At 48.1% G+C, this 16,106-nt stretch overlaps 1 pseudogene across 2 annotated transcripts in view; it reads left to right on the top strand.

Moving 5' to 3' along the window:
• Positions 1 to 16,106, top strand: part of GUSBP14 (GUSB pseudogene 14) — a 162,716-nt pseudogene that overhangs the window by 79,470 nt on the left and 67,140 nt on the right. Inside the window, exons 7-8 of one of the 2 annotated variants that reach the window (NR_029426.1) lie at positions 13,318 to 13,453; positions 13,738 to 13,830. The product of NR_029426.1 is annotated as a GUSB pseudogene 14, transcript variant 1 (transcript). The remainder of the gene's footprint in view (positions 1 to 13,317; positions 13,454 to 13,737; positions 13,831 to 16,106) is intronic. The other variant, NR_024054.2, reaches the window with a different exon arrangement.

Genomic DNA, 16,106 nt, shown 5'->3' with positions numbered 1-16,106 from the left:
TCCTCCTTGTTTTCAGCTTTTGTATTTGTGAACTCACCTACTATTTTTTGTAACCCCCAAATCAGTACTCACAGCACTTTCATAGTCATGTGTTTGCGCAGAGTGTCAAAGAATTTGAGTTTGAACAGGATGATATTCTGCCTTCTTTTTCAGCTCTCATACAATAGTCAGGTATCCTTTTTGTGGTCTATTTAATGCCATGCTTTTCCTGTTTTTGTACTGTTTGTTGGTTGTTTTGCCATTTAAATTAACCCCCAAGCATAGTGCTGAAGTGCTGCTTAGCATTCACAAGTCCAAGAAGTCTGTGATGTGTCTTACAGAGAAAATACATGCATTAAATAAACTCCATTCAGGCGTGAGTGCTGTAGTGCCGTTGGCTGTGAGTTCAATGTTAATGAATGAACAATGTATATTATTTATTTATTCTTCATTTAATTAATTATTATTATTATTTTTTTTGAGATAGAGTCTCACTCTGTTGCTCAGGCTGGAGTGCAGTGGTGCAGTCTTGGCTCACTGCAACCTCTGCCTCCTGGGTTCAAGCGATTCCCCTGCCTTCGCCTCCCAAGTAGCTAAGACTACAGGCATGCGCCACCATGCCTGGCTAATTTTTTTTTTTTTTTTTTGTAGTTTTAGTAGAGACGGGGTTTCACCACGTTGGCCAGGCTGGTCTCGAACTCCAGACCTCAAATGATCTGCCCGCCTTGGCTTCCCAAAGTGCTGGGATTACAGGCGTTAGCCACTGTGCCTGGCCAACAATATATATTAAATAAGCACACATACAACAAAAGTAGGTGTTGGTAAGCTTACAAAAGTGTGACCAGTAGCTTGCTGAAACCTAACTTTTTATTTGTTCATGGAACTTTCTAGACCGTAACTACACTGAATAATGAGAATCTGCTGTAATCTTTTTAGGTGCTGTAGATGAGCCATTGGATTAAATTATTACAGTATGTTTCAGACTGCTGTATGTTGAACCCTAGTGAAATGCCTCTCAAACCTTCATAAGGATCACAATCTCATGTCCTTTTTTTTTGTTATTAAATGCCCAGTATGTGTTAGCGATTTAAACAAAATTCAAATATTTTTTTTTTTTTTTTTGAGACAGAGTCTCGCTCTGTCACCTAAGCTGGAGAGTGCAGTGGTATGATCTCGGCTCACTACAACCTCTGCCTCCCGGGTTCAGGCGATTCTCCTGCCTCAGCATCCTGAGTAGCTGGGATTACAGGCACCCGCCACCACGCTGGGCTAATTTTTGTATTTTTAGTAGAGACGGGGTTTCGCCAGGTTGTCCAGGCTGGTCTGGAACTCCTGACCTCATGCGATCTGCCTGCCTTGGCCTCCTGAAGTGCTGGGATTATAGGCGTGAGCCACCATGCCCGGCGTTGACTTCTTAATAATAACCATACTGACTGGTGTGAGATGGTATGCCATTGTGGTTTTGATTTGCATTTCTCTAATGATCAGTGATATTGAGCTTTTTCTCATATGCTTGTTGGCCGCATGTGTGTCTTCTTTTGAAGTGTCTGTTTATGTCCTGTGCCCACTTTCCAATGAGATTTTTTTTTTTTCTTGTAAATTTGTTTAAGTTCCTTATCAGTGTTGGACATTAGATCTTTGTCACATGCATTGTTGCAAAAATTTTCTCCCATTCTGTAGGTTGTCTGTTCACTCTGTTGATAGTTTCTTTTGCTGTGCAGAAGCTTCAAGAAGAAAGGAATCCGATTGGTTCTGTGTCTGTCTCTTTTGGTATTCTCAGAATTATGTAGTCATTCATATAGAAAGATGATTAGGAAAATAGGACAAGAATAGCAGAAATCTACATAAAAATGTAGGAAATTAAAATTAGTTACCAGCATACAAAAAACTTCTGTATGTTATAATTACATACTATAACTCACCCCTCCTTGGCAAATATTCTCTCTCTTTTGACTTCAAAATCATGGCTTATATGTACTTTCTCTATTTCCCAGATGCAAATATAATTAATTGACTTTATTTATCTAGGAAATGTTACTCATATCTTAATTGTAGTCATTGGCTTGAGTGACGGGTTTTGGTAATTCAACTACTATTACTTGAAAGTAGTAGATTTCATAGGATACTGTTATAAAATCTTTTTAACCTCTTTTCTGATTTCAGGAGTAATTAGTAATTGTGGTTTACTGGAAAATTCAATGAATAGGGTGTTAAAGGAAGCAATTCATTAATAATATATGTAATCTATTGGGAGACTGAGGCGGGTGGATCACCTGAGTTCAGGAGTTCGAGACCAGCCTGGCCAACATGGCAAAACTCCGTCTCTACTGAAAATAGAAAAATTCGCCGGGCATGGTGGTGCATTCCTGTATTCCCAGGTACTCGGAAGGCTGAGGCAGGAGAATCACCTGAACTCCAGAGGTGGAGGTTGCAGCGAGTCAGGATCGCAGCACTACACTCCAGCCTGGGTGACAGTGAGACTCCATCTCAAAAAAAAAAAAAAAAAAAAAAAAAAAAAAAAAAAAAATTAAAAAATTAAATTAAAAGCGGGCTGGGCGCATTGGTTCAGGGCCGGGCACGGTGGCTCAAGCCTGTAATCCCAGCACTTTGGGAGGCCGAGGCAGGCGGATCACGAGGTCAGGAGATCAAGACCATCCTGGCTAATGTGGTGAAACCCCGTCTCTACTAACAATACAAAAATTAGCTGGATGTGGTGGCAGGTGCCTGTAATCCCAGCTATTCCAGAGGCTGAGGCAGGAGAATCACTTGAACCTGGGAGGCAGAGGTTTCAGTGAGTCCAGATCATGCCACTGCACTCCAGCCTGGGTGACAGAGCGAGATTCTATCTCAAAAAAAAAAAAAAAAAAAAAAAAAGCAACAGAAGCAAATGAGAGTGCCTGGGAGTGGTCATTGTGGGGCCTTCCCGTTTGTGTGACCCAGGTCATGTCCCTCCCTAAGCCCTGGTCTCTCTTGCCTCCTGCAGGGCTGGTGAATTACCAGATCTCCGTCAAGTGCAGTAACCAGTTCAAGTTGGAAGTGTGTCTTTTGAATGCAGAAAACAAAGTCGTGGACAACCAGGCTGGGACCCAGGGCCAGCTGAAGGTGCTGGGTGCCAACCTCTGGTGGCCGTACCTGATGCACGAACACCCCGCCTACCTGTACTCGTGGGAGGTAATGGTGGTTTGGGACTTGCGTAAGGGAGGTCTTTTGCCCCCATCTGGTAGCCCTGGCTTCAGCAGGAGCCCAGGACAGGTGAACGGGCAGGTGTGGTCCTCTGAGCTTTCTGATGTTTCCCACCCTTGGTGGGAGGCCCAGATTTTTTATTTATTTATTTATTTATTTATTTATTTATTTATTTATTTATTTGTTTTTGTGATGGTCTCACTCTGTCACCCAGGCTGGAATGCAATGGCCTGATCACAGCTCACTGCAGCTTTGAGCTGCAATCCTCCTACCTTGGCCTCCTGAGTAGCTGGGACTACAGGCACATGCCACCATGCCTGGCTAATTAAAAAAATTTTTTTTGTAGGCCGGGCATGGTGGCTCACACCTGTAATCCCAGCACTTCGGGAGGCTGACGCGGGCGGATCACTTTAGGCCAGGAGTTGGAGACCAGCCTGGCCAACATGGTGAAACCCCGTCTCTACTAAAATATGAAAATTTGCAGGGCATGATGGTGCACGTCTGTAATCCCAGCTACTCGGGAGGCTGAGGCAGGGGAATTGCTTGAACCCAGGAGGCAGGGGCTGCGGTGAATTGAGATCATGCCGCAGCACTCTATCCTGGGTGACAGAGTGAGACTGTCTCAAAAAAAAAAAAACTCCTTTTTATAGAGTTGGGGTCTTACTAGGTTGCCCAGGCTGGTCTTGAACTCCTGGACTCAGGTGATCCTCCTGCCTTAGCCTCCCAAAGTGTAGGGATTCCAGGCATGAGCCACCTCGTCTGGTCAAGGAGAAGGCCTGATTTTGAAGGGCAGGTCCCAGGGTCAGCCAGTGAAGGGCAGAGCCTCTGGTTGCTGCTTCTCTGCAGGCCCAGTGGCGACTTCTGGGGTGCATGCACGAGGGGTCTTCCTGCTGTAGGGCAGGCCAGATGGGGCTCAGGCTGTCGGGGCGCTCACACCTGGCGCTTTGGCTGTCGTAGGTGCGGCTGACTGCACAGAAGTCACTGGGGCCTTTGACTTCTACACACTCCCTGTGGGGCTCCGCACTGTGCCCGTCACCGAGAGCCAGTGGGTGAGAGCCAGTTTCATTTGCGGTAGAGGCAGCAGAGGTTGTAGAAATGCTCCTTGAGGCAGATGCCACACCCCAATTTCATGGAGTGATTTGGGCTGAGCCGAGTCTGCAGCAGGCAGAAGGCTCTGAGATGTTGTCCTAGCCTGGGCAAAGGACAGTTCAGAGCTCGGGGGAATAGGGGTGTGCTCAGCACGACTGGGTGGACAGGCCGTTTGTTGTGAATCGTACAGGCTTCCAGGAGCGGGTGCCTGAGGCTTCCAGACAGGCTTTGGGAGGTGGCCAGAGGAGATGCCTGTTTCCGGGGCAGGAAATGGAGGGAGGGCCCAGGCTGGAGAGGTTCAGCCAGGCTGTCACAAGGCTTTGAAGCTTCCCATCTGAGAGCCTGGCTATTGGAGAGTGTGGGTTTGGAACTTGAGGCTAGGAGGTTCTATTCTGTCCTGTGCCAGCCACAGCCTTCGGATGGGCAGAGCAATGATGGGGGGAAGATGTAAAAGAAAAGAACTGAGGAAAGAAGAAGAAAACCAGCTTCAACAACGGTCTAGGCCGGATGCGGTGGGTCACGCCTGTAATCCCAGCAGTTTGGGAGGCTGAGGTGGGTGGATCACCCGAGGTCAGGAGTTCGAGACCAGCCTGGTCAACAGGTAGTGAATCCTGTCTCTACTAAAAATACAAAAATTAGCTGGGCATGGTGGTGGACGTCTGTAATGCCAGCTACCAGGTAGGCTGAGGCAGGAGAATCGCCTCAGGTGAACCAGGAGGCAGAGATTGCAATGAGCTGAGATAATGCCACTGCATTCCAGCCTGGGCTACAGAATGAGACTCTGTATCTCAACAAAACAAAACAAAACAAAAACACAACAGTCTGTTCTGTGGAGGCCTTGGGCAGATGCTGGGAGCTCTGAGCACGGACTGGTCCCTCTGTTGGGAGCCTCTTCCCTTCATCCCTCCTGGTTAACTTGACTCAGCATAAAGGCCATTTCTTCTAAGAGCCTGTCCCTGACTCTCCAATCGGGGATGTGTCTGTTGTCTCATAGAGTGCCCAATTCCTGCCACCACTTGTCATTTCCATTCGCAACATTTCTTTCATTGTTTGTTTTTCAGAGTCAGGGTCTCACTCTGTTGCCCAGGCTGGAGTGCAGTGGTGCAATCATAGCTCGTTGCCATCTCGACCTCCTGGGCTTAAGCGATCCTCCCCACTCAGCCTCCCAAATAGCTGGGACCACAGACGTGCGCTGCCTTGCCAGGCTAAATTTTAATATTTTTTTTTCCCCACGAGTCAGAGTCTTGCTCTGTCTCCCAGGCTGGAGAGCAGTGTTGCGGTCTTGGCTCACTGCGTCCTCTACCTCCTGGGTACAAACAGTTCTCCTGCCTCACCCTCCCGAGTAGCTGGGATTACAGGCTCACGCCACCATGCCCAGCTAGTTTTCTTCTTTATTTTTTGTTGAGATGGGGTTTCACCATGTTGGCCAGGCTGGTCTCGAACTCTTGAGCTCGTGATCCACCTGCCTTGGCCTCCCAAAGTGCTCACAGGCTTGAGCCACCATGCCCGGCCCTAATTTTTAAATTTGTTGTAGAAACAAGGTCTTGCTATGTTGTCCAGGCTGGTCTCAAGCGCCTGGTCTCAAGTAAGCCTCCCAAAGTGCTGGGGTTCTAGGCTTGAGCCACCTCGCCTGGCACTTGCACCGTTTTTCTGTGCATGCATCTCCACTCCCACTGCCCAGGACCTGTGGACTTAGATTTGAGTCATTACTGAGCACCTAGCACCCAGCCTCATGCCTACCTCCCACCTCGCACTACCTGTTTGCTTGATGCATTAATAAATATTCCACCTGAATCCACAGCCCATTCACTCCTGTGTTCAAGAGCTATTTCAGGAAGTGAACCTCATTTCTGGCAGTGTTCAGTCCAGTGACCTCAGCTCTGTGTACCCGGCAGGGTGGCTACGCCTCTGGGGGAGTTGGATTCAGGGGTGGGGGAGAAAGAGTGTTGTTAGAGAGCTCGGTCTAGGACTAGAGGAACGTGCCCTTATGTAAAATACATCTCAAGTTAGGGAAGAAAGCAGCGGCTCTGTGCTTTGTTTTTTTTTTTTTTTTTCTTTTCTTTCTTTCTTTTTTTTTTTTTTGTTTGTTTGTTTGTTTGTTTGTTTTGGGGCAGGGTCTTGCTCTGTGGCCCAGGCTGGAGTGCAGTAGCGTGATTTCGGCTCACTGCAACCTCCACCTCCCGGGTTCAAGCAATTCTTGTGCCTCAGCCTCCCGAGTAGCTGGAGTTACAGATGCGTGCCACTAAGCCTGGCTAATTTTTGTATATTTAGTAGAAATGGGGTTTTGCCATGTTGGCCAGGCTGTTCTTGAACCCCTGACCTCAGTGATCTGCCTGCCTCAGCCTCCTGAAGTGCTGGGATTACAGGCGTGAGCCATCGTGCCTGGCCCCCAGTTGTGTTCTGGCAGGGGAAGATGGGACAGAGAGGATGGGAGGGTGTCTGAGCCTTTCCCGGACTGACGGAACCTGTGTCTTCTCTCTTTTGTGGACAGGATGGTGATTGCTCACACCAAAGCCTTGGACCCCTCCCAGCCTGTGACCTTTGTGACCAACTCCACCTACGCAGCAGACAAGGGGGTGAGCCTGGGGGTCCCCACCCCATTTCTCCCTGCCTTTGCCTGGGCTTGTCCTGAAGCCTGCTCATGGGAACAGCTGGAAAGAACCATGTGCTGCCAGTCTGAGCTTTTTATTTTGTTTTACTTAGAAAGATAGAGACAGGGTCTTGCCATGTTGCCCAGGCTGGTCTCGAACTCCTGGGCTCAAGTGATCCTCCTGCCTCGGCCTTCCAAAGGGCTGGGGTTACAGGCGTGTGCCACCGCACTCAGCCGCAGCCAGTCTGTTTTCAAAGATGGTCTTTGGGTTAATGACAATTCTCTCTCTGCTTACTCTCCAGGCAGTGTGGCTTTCTGAATCCAAGGAGGCTGGGCATAGGGAGATGGGATTTGTTTGCCCGGTTTGGACTCAGCATTTTTTGTACTCGATTTAATAGACTCATAAAATGTCAAAGGTTTAAGTGAGCTTAGAGTTGATCTGGCCCAAACCTGGCTGATCAGAATCTCCAGGGGAAGTTTTATTGAAATGCCAGATCTCTGCGTTCTGAGATCCTGATTTAGTAACTCCAGGGTTGGAACCTGAGTTTTTTGTTTTTTTGTGTGTGTGTGTGAAGGCAAGGTCTTACTCTGTTGCTCTGGCTGGAGTGCAGTGGTGTGATCACAGCTCACTGCAGCCTTGAATTCCTGGGCCTAAGCAACCCTCTTGCCTCAGCCTTCCAAGTAGCTGGGACTCCGGGGGTACACCACTGTGCCCGGCTAATTTTAAATGTTTTTGTAGAGATGGGATCTCACTATGTTGCCCAGGCCAGTCTCAAACTCTTGAGCTCAAGTGATCCTCCTGCCTTAGCCTCCTAAAGTGCTGGGATTACAGGCATGAGCCACCGTGCCTGGCTGATACTAGCATTCTTTTTTATTTTTTATTATTTTTTTAAGATAGAGTCTTGCTCTGTTGCCCAGGCTGGAGTGCAGTGGCACAGTCTCAGCTCAGTGCAACCTCCGCCTCCCAGGTTCAAGCAATTCTCCTGCCTCAGCCTCCCAAGTAGCTGGGATAACAGGCACATGCCACCACGCCTGCGCTTGATCGTGGGAGGCAGAGCTTGCATTATTGTGCCACTCCATTCTAGCCTGGGCAACAGAGCGAGACTCTGTCTTCCAAACAAAGCGGAAAAAGATTATCTGCGAGAATGACTGCATTGGCCCCTTGGGTGGGAGGGCTTCTCCAGGGCAAGGTGAGGGGATGCCCAGTGCTGGGAGTGCTGCCTGGAGAGGAGTCAGTTCCAGTGGCGGGGGCCCTGGGTTTTGGCTGAGGACTGCGTGTTGGCAGCTGCTCTGCCTCTCACAGCCCTTCCCAGCTGCACACGTCGTGAGCGTCAGTGTGCAATCACAGGCCTGCCTCCTTTGGGCCACTTTGTGACCATGTTTTTTGCTTGTGGGGCAGGGTAATTTCAGGATCTAAATTGGTGCAGTTGGATGTTCTCAGCCCCGAGAGGCAGCTCTTCCCGTTCTAGGCTTTTTGTTTTGTTTTGTAGAAATGGAGTCCTACGACGTTGCCCAGGCTGGTCTCAAACTCCTGGGCTCAAGTGATCCTCCCACCTTGGCCTCCCAATGTGCTGGGATTACAGGCATGAGCCACTGTGCCGTGCTGATTTTCTTGATACTATTTTTTGTAGAGCTGGGGTCTTGCTGTGTTGCCCAGGCTGGTCTCGAACTCCTGGCCACAAGCCACCCTCCTGCCTCAGCCTCCCAGAGTGCTGGGATTACATCCCCTTCTTACCTTCTCTGTCAGAGGAGCCCCCACAGCATGTGAGTACTGAGTCATGCGGTCTTGTGGTTGCTGAACGGGCTCTGCTGCTCTGGTCCTAGGCTCTGTATGTGGATGTGATCCGTGTGAACAGCTACTACTCTTGGTATCGCAACTACGGGCACCTGGAGTTGATTCAGCTGCAGCTGGCCGCCCAGTTTGAGAATTGGTGTAAGACATCACAATCCCATTATTCAGAGCGCGTATGGAGTGGAAACGCTTGTAGGGCTTCACCAGGTAAGCGGTGTTGAACTTTCTGCTTGTGTATTCTCTCTGGGCAGAGATGCCACTTGCCTCCCCCACCCTGCCCTGCGCCCACTGCAGTGCTCCCCTTGCTTCAGCTTTGGGCTCACCTCCCGCTACCCTGTCCACGTTCCCTTCTCACCAGCAGCCAGGCCTCTGCCCCACTCGCTTGGTCCTCAAAGGTGGACTCCTTACTGGCCTTGTTTCCAGACAGCCTCCTATCACCCGTGCCCAAGTGGTCTTTCTAAGAAATCCAAATTTTTATGTGTTTTTGAGACCGCCTCTCTCTCTGTCACCCAAGCTGGAGTGCGGTGGTGCGATCACTGCTCCCTGCAGCCTTAACCTCCTGGGCCCAAGCGATCTTCCCACCTCAGCCTCCTGAGTATCTGGGACCATAGGCACAGGCCACCATGCCTGGCTAATTTTTTTACTTTTGTAGAGATGGGGCCTTGTTGTGTTCCCCGGGCTGGTCTTGAATTCCTGGGATCAAGTGACCCTCCTGCCTCAGGCTCACAAAGCGCTGGGATTTACAGGTGTGAGCCACTGTGCCCGGCCACAAATCAAAATTTTTGAGTCCTGTCATTGGCTCCCCCAGGCCCATAGGACAAAGTCCTAACCCCTAGTCAGGACACTCAGTGTCCTCTGCTCTCTCCTGGGTTTTCATCCTCTTCTCTTCTCACTCCTGGCCACTGATCTGTTTCCACTGCCCTCATTTGCTCTCCTGCTCTTGCTTGAGCTATTCTTTCTGCCTGGAATGCCCAAGTTGACACCATAATCACCAACTAAAAGATCCTTTTCTTTTTATTTTTTTAGAGATAGGGTCTTGCTATGTTGCCCAGGCTGGTCTCAAACTCCTGGACTCAATTGATCTTTTTGCCTTGGCCTCCCAAAGTTCTGGGATTAACAGGTGTGATCCACTGTGCTAGCCTTTTTTTATTTTTTATTTTTTTCCTGACAGGGTCTTGTTCTGTTGCCCAGGCTGGAGTGTGGTGGTGTCATCATAGCTCACTGCAGCCTCGAACTCCTGGGCTGAAGCAATTCCCCTGCCTCAGCCTCCTGAGTAGCTGGGACTACAGGCGTGCACCACCATGTGCAGCCTAGTTTTAAAATATTTTGTAGAGATGCAGTCTCGCTATCAGGCTGGTCTTCACCTCCTGTCTTGGACTCCCAAAGTACTGGGAATACAGGCATGAGTCACGACACGTGGCTGAAAAGATTCCTATTTGGCATCTGAGTCTCCTCATAGCTGTCCCCTCTGTGGGGAGGTTTACCCTGCCTGCCCCAGGCGGAGGGAACCTTCCCCGTGCTCTGCCCTGTTGCAGCCGGAACCTGGCTCCCCCAACATTCTCGCCAGGCACCGTTGTTATTTCTTTGGCTCTCTCTTTGATCGGACTGTGGGCTCAGGAGACAGGAGTCCTATTTATTGTTGTTTCCCAGGTACTCTGCAATAGCTGACACAGTACATGCTAAATAATACCTATTGAGGGCATGGGTGAGATCTTAGAGCCATGTTTAATCACTCACTTTGTCTTTTTTTTTTTTTTGAGATGGAGTCTCACTCTGTCACCCAGGCTGAAGTGCAATGGTGTGATCTCAGCTCACTGCAACCTCCACTTCCTAGGCTCAAGCGATTGTCCTGCCTCAACCTCCCAAGCAGCTGGGATTACAGGCACCTGCCACCATGCCCAGCTAATTTTTGTATTTTTGTAGAGGTGGGGTTTTGCCATGTTGGCCAGGCTGGTCTTGAGCTCCTGACGTCAAGTGATTTGCCTGCTTCCGCGTCCCAAAATCCTGGGATTACAGGCCTGAGCCACCATGCCTGGCCTGTCCTCATTTGTTTATCCATCTCATTTTTTGTCCTTCTCACCAAAGATATGTTGCTTTGTCTTGTGGGGTTTTTTTCATGTGGATTCCTGAACCCCATCCAGCCCCTTGTCCCCTCCCCAGCCAGCTCACACTCTTTTGCACAGCTCCTGGGACTCCCGTTGACACACAGGGAACAGCCACCCACAATGGACTGCACTGTTCTGTTTGCACCCTTAAATTTATCGTGCTTACAGAATGACACTTCTGCAAACTAGTCAAGTAGGGGGAAGTGATTTGTGGATATGCACCCTTGTTCATTCTCTTTGAAAAGGTAACCAGCTCTGAATTCTTTCTCCTTTTAGGAGGAGTTTCACTTGTCGCCCAGGCTGGAGTGTAGTGGTGCAATCTTGACTCACTGCTACCTCCGCCTCCCAGGTTCAAGCAATTCTCCTGCACCAGCCTCCCAAGTAGCTTGGATTACAGGCATGCACCACCATGCTCACCTAATTTTTTTTTTTTTTTTTTTTTTTTTAGTAGAGATGAGGTTTCACCACGTTGGTCAGGCTGGTCTTGAACTTTTGACCTCAAGCGATCCACCTGCCTTGGCCTCCCAAAGTGCTGGAATTACAGGCATGAGCCACCATACCCAGCCCCAGTTCTGAATTCTTAAGAAACTCGAGAGGGTCTAGGTGAGCATTGATAGAACCTCTGCAGTGCTGGGTGTGCTGGCTCACACCTGGAATGCTAGCCCTTTGGGAGACCGAGGTCAGAGGATCTCTTGAGCCCAGGAGTTTGAGACCAGTCTGCACAACATGGACCCCATCTCTACAAAATATTTAAGATGAGTTGTGGCTGGGTGCAGTGGCTGACGCCTGTAATCCCAGCACTTTGGGAGGCTGAGGTGGGTGGATCACGAGGCCAAGAGTTCAAGTCCAGCCTGACCAAGATGGTGAAACCCCGTCTCTACTAAGAAAACACAGAAATTAGCTGGGTGTGGTGGCATGCACCTGTAATCCCAGCTACTCAGGAGGCTAAAGCAGGAGAATCGCTTGAACTGGGGAGGTGGAGGTTGCAGTGAGCCGAGATTGTGCCACTGCACTCCAGCCTGGGCGACAGAGCAAGAGTCCGTCTCAAAAAAAAAAAAAAAAAAAAATAGTTGGGTATGGTCGTGCTTGCCTCTAGTCCCAGCTACTTGGGAGGCTGAGGTAGGAGGACTGTTTGAGCCCAGTAGGTCAAGGCTGCAGTCCGCCATAATTGCACCACTGTACTCCCACCTGGGTGACAGAGTGAGACCTTGTTTCAAAAAAGAACCTTTGCAATGATGGAAATGCCCCATGTCTGCACTGTCTGAAATGGTAGCCACTAGCTACATGTGGCTATTGAGGTCTTGATATATGACTAGGATAACTGAATTTATCTGGTTTAATTAAAAAAAATTTTTTTTTGAGACAGCCTTACTCTGTTGCCCAGGCTGGAGTGCAGTGGCGTAATCACAGCTCACTGCTCAACCTCCTGGGCTCAAGTGATCCTTCCTCCTCGGCCCCCCAAGTAGCTGGAGCCACAGTCATGCGCCACTATACCTAGCGAATATTTAGCCTTTTTATAGAGACTGGGTTTTACTGTGTTGCCTAGGCTGATCTTGAACTCCTGAGCTCAAGTGATCCTCCTGCCTCGACCTCCCAAAGTGCTGGGATTACAGACCTGAGCTACCATGCCCAGCCTGGTTTAGTTTAATTTCATTTTACATTCATTCATTCATTCATGAGATAGGGTCTTGTTCTGTCACCCAGGCTGGAGTGTAGTGGTGCAAACCACAGCTTTGACCTCCGGGACTGAAGCAGTCCTCCCACCTCAGCCTCCCAAGTAGCTGGGACCACAGGTGTGTGCCTCCATGCTTGGCTAACTTTTGTACTTTTTGTAGGCTAGTCTTGAACTCCTAGGCTCAAGCAGTCCTCCCACCTCGGTCTCCCAAAGTGCTTGGATGACAGACATGAGCCAGCGCGCCTGACCTAAAGACATATTTTTCCTTCTAGTGTAGTTCAGCCTTAAGACTGTATCAGCAGACAGAGACGGAAAAGTAAGAAAAATTGAGTATCAGGTTATATTTATAAATAAAGCAGTTGCTAATTGATGGTTTTTTTTTAAACCTCCTTTTTAATTCTGGGTTACATCATTCCCTGGCTGTCGTTTCTTTTTTTGTATTTTTTTTTATTATTATTATACTTTAAGTTTTAGCGTACATGTGCACATTGTGCAGGTTAGTTACATACGTATACATGTGCCATGCTGGTGTGCTGCACCCACTAACTCGTCATCTAGCATTAGGTATATCTCCCAATGCTATCCCTCCCCCCTCCCCCCACCCCACAACAGTCCCCAGAGTGTGATGTTCCCCTTCCTGTGTCTATGTGATCTCATCGTTCAATTCCCACCTATGAGTGAGAATATGCGGTGTTTGTTTTTTTGTTCTTGCGATAGTTTACTGAGAATGATGATTTCCAATTTCTCCCTGGCTGTCTTTACCCTAGCATCAGTGAGTCCTGCAGTCCCTACAGCCCCCAGTGAGGACAGATATTTTGGTCACCATCAAGTGGATCTTTATTTTTATCTAACATTTACAATTCTGCCAGTTCTTACTCTTAATTCTCTTTGCCTTGAATCCCAGGATCCACCTCTGATGTTCAGTGAAGAGGACCGGAAAAGTCTGCTAGAGCAGTACCATCTGGGTCTGGATCAAAAACGCAGAAAATACGTGGTTGGAGAGCTCATCTGGAATTTTGCCGATTTCATGACTAACCAGTGTAAGTGGCAGTTTAGCGCATGGGATAATGTACCCGTCCTCATTTTTTCAGGTTGCCTTGCCCATTCTGGACATTTTGGCTGTAAGAATATTGGAAACAAAGGGGGGAACCTGGTTTAATCCATGTAGGTTGTGTTGAGAATTTCCTAGGAAAAGTAAGTTGTGCTTAGGAAGTAGGAAAGCAGTCAGGCCCCCGCTTCCCACGTACGGTCAAAAAGCAAACATGAGAGTCTGCTATAGTGAGATGGAAATGGCTAGCTTGCCTTTTTCTTGTCTATTTCATAGCCAAGGATGAAGGAAAAACTGGACCTCATTATGGATTTACTTTTGGGATACACTCATTATTCCAGAGGAGGGTAAAAGGCTGAGAAGCTTAAGGTATTTCAGTCTGTTTTATGTTACTCATTTGCGAAAAGCAGGCTCATCGAATACAGGTGAGTTTCAACGCGTCTTGAATATGGCAGCATTTAAAAGTCTTCAGACCAGGCATGGTGGCTCATGCCTGTCATCCCAGCACTTTGGGAGGCCAAGGTGGGAGGATTGCTTGAGGCCAGGAGTTCGAGACCAGCCTGTTCAGCATAGCAGGACCCCCATCTCTACAAAAACTAAACAGATTAGCTAGGTGTGGTGGTGTGTGCCTGTAGTCCTAGCTGCTTGGGAGGCTGAGGCAGGCGGATAGCCTGAGCACAGGAGTTGGAGGCTGCAGTAAGCCATGATTACACCACTGCACTTGAGCCTGGGCAGCAGAGTGAGACCTGTCTTTAAAAAAAAAAAAGGAGCTGGGCACGGTGGCTCATGCCTGTAATCCCAGCACTTTGGGAGGCCGAGGCAGGCAGATCACGAGGTCAGGAGATCGAGACCATCCTGGCTAACAGTGAAACCCTGTCTCTACTGAAAATACAAAAAAAATCAGCCGGGCGTGGTGGCGGGTGCCTGTAGTCCCAGCTGCTCGGGAGGCTGAGGCAGGAGAATGGCATGAACCCAGGAGTTGGAGCTTGCAGTGAGCCGAGATTGTGCCACTGCACTCCAGCCTGGGCGACAGTGAGACTGCTTCTCAAAAAAAAAAAAAAAAAAAAAAAAAAAGAAAGGGTCTTCAAAGACAATAAGATCTGTGCTCTCACGTAGGGTGGATGAGGGGCTGCCAAGTTAGCAATGAATGTTTCCCATTTCTTCTTAGTTTATGGACTTTCCATAAACTCAGGATGGCAGTTTGGTTGGTTGGAGAAGGATATGGTGATGGCGGGAGTTACAATACATTACTTATAGGGGAAGATAGGCTTTTGAAAGGTTAAAGCTTAAAAGTGAGAATGGAAAAGGGATGAATGAATGAACATGATGAGGTGAGAGGGAAGAGGTAAAGGGAAAAGGAGAACAAGCAACTCTTCTCTGCGTGGCACCTGGGATGAATGGTTTCTGGGGACATCCCTGATGGCAGTTTTGTGGAGAGGTGCAAAGCTTTATGTGTTAAGAAATGAGCTGTAGGCTCAGTGCAGTGGCTCACGCCTGTAATCCCAGCACTTTGGGAGGCCGAGGTGGGTGAAAAGAAAAAATGGGCTGGGCGCCGTGGCTCACGCCTGTAATCCCAGCACTTTGGGAGGCCGAGGTGGGCGGATCATGAGGTAAGGAGTTCGAGAGCAGCCTGGCCAACATGGTGAAACCGTGTCTCTCCAAAAAAATAGAAAAAACATCCCTGTATGGTGGTGAGCACCTGTAGTCCCAGTTACTCAGGAGGCTGAGGCATGAGAATCGCTTAAACCTCGGAGGCGGAGGCTGCAATGAGCTGAGATGGTGCCACTGCACTCCAGCCTGGGTGACAGAGCTGGGTGGTGGCTCAAGATATGTTTTGTAAACCTGAAGATTTGAGATCATATAAGCCAAATCGAAACTTAATTGGCATTCATAACTTTTGGTTCTAGAGACTCCATGATCAACTAAGAGCCACCAAACATTTCCCATGTAGACTATTTTGACCATGCTGACTCTACTGACACTGTGGTTACTGAATTCACTTTATCTCTAGAAATTAATTCTTACTAATGGATGTCTGTCACTGTAAGATCCTTCTCTCCTCTGAAATAAGGAGAACATTTTAACTTCAGTAGTTTAAACTAGTGTCCTAAACTATAGCATTCAAAATGAGATAATATGCTAAAGTAATACACAAACCAAAAATCCCAGTGGCTAACACAAAAAGTTTTTCTTACTCATTTTACATATCCAGGGTAAGTCAGTAATAGACGCAGACACACCCAGAGACCAAGGATGAGTTGTGATCTGTCTGCACACATAGTTCACAATGCCTGAGTGAGTTGTGCTTTGGCCTTTAAACTTCCACTCATGTTTAATTAATAAAGATTTTGCTCAAATGCCATTTGATGATGAGTTTCATGACGATGATCAACTTTAAAAGAACTTGGAAGTACAATCCTCAAGCGTTTCTGGAAATAGCAGAACTACAATATTTGAGAAAAATATTTTTTAATGTATAAAAAATTGGCAGGGTAGGCTAGCAAGCAAGAGACCTAGAGAAAAGTTGATGTTACAGTCTCAAGTCGAAAGGCAATCTGCAGGCAGAATTATTTCCTTGAGGGATCTCAGTCTTTTAATATAATCAATTGACTGGATGAGCCCTACAATATTTTGGAAAATAATCT

Source organism: Homo sapiens, chromosome 5 (genome assembly GCF_000001405.40).
Source record: "Homo sapiens chromosome 5, GRCh38.p14 Primary Assembly".
NCBI lineage: Eukaryota > Metazoa > Chordata > Mammalia > Primates > Hominidae > Homo > Homo sapiens.
This window is presented reverse-complemented; position numbering and strand designations above follow the sequence as displayed.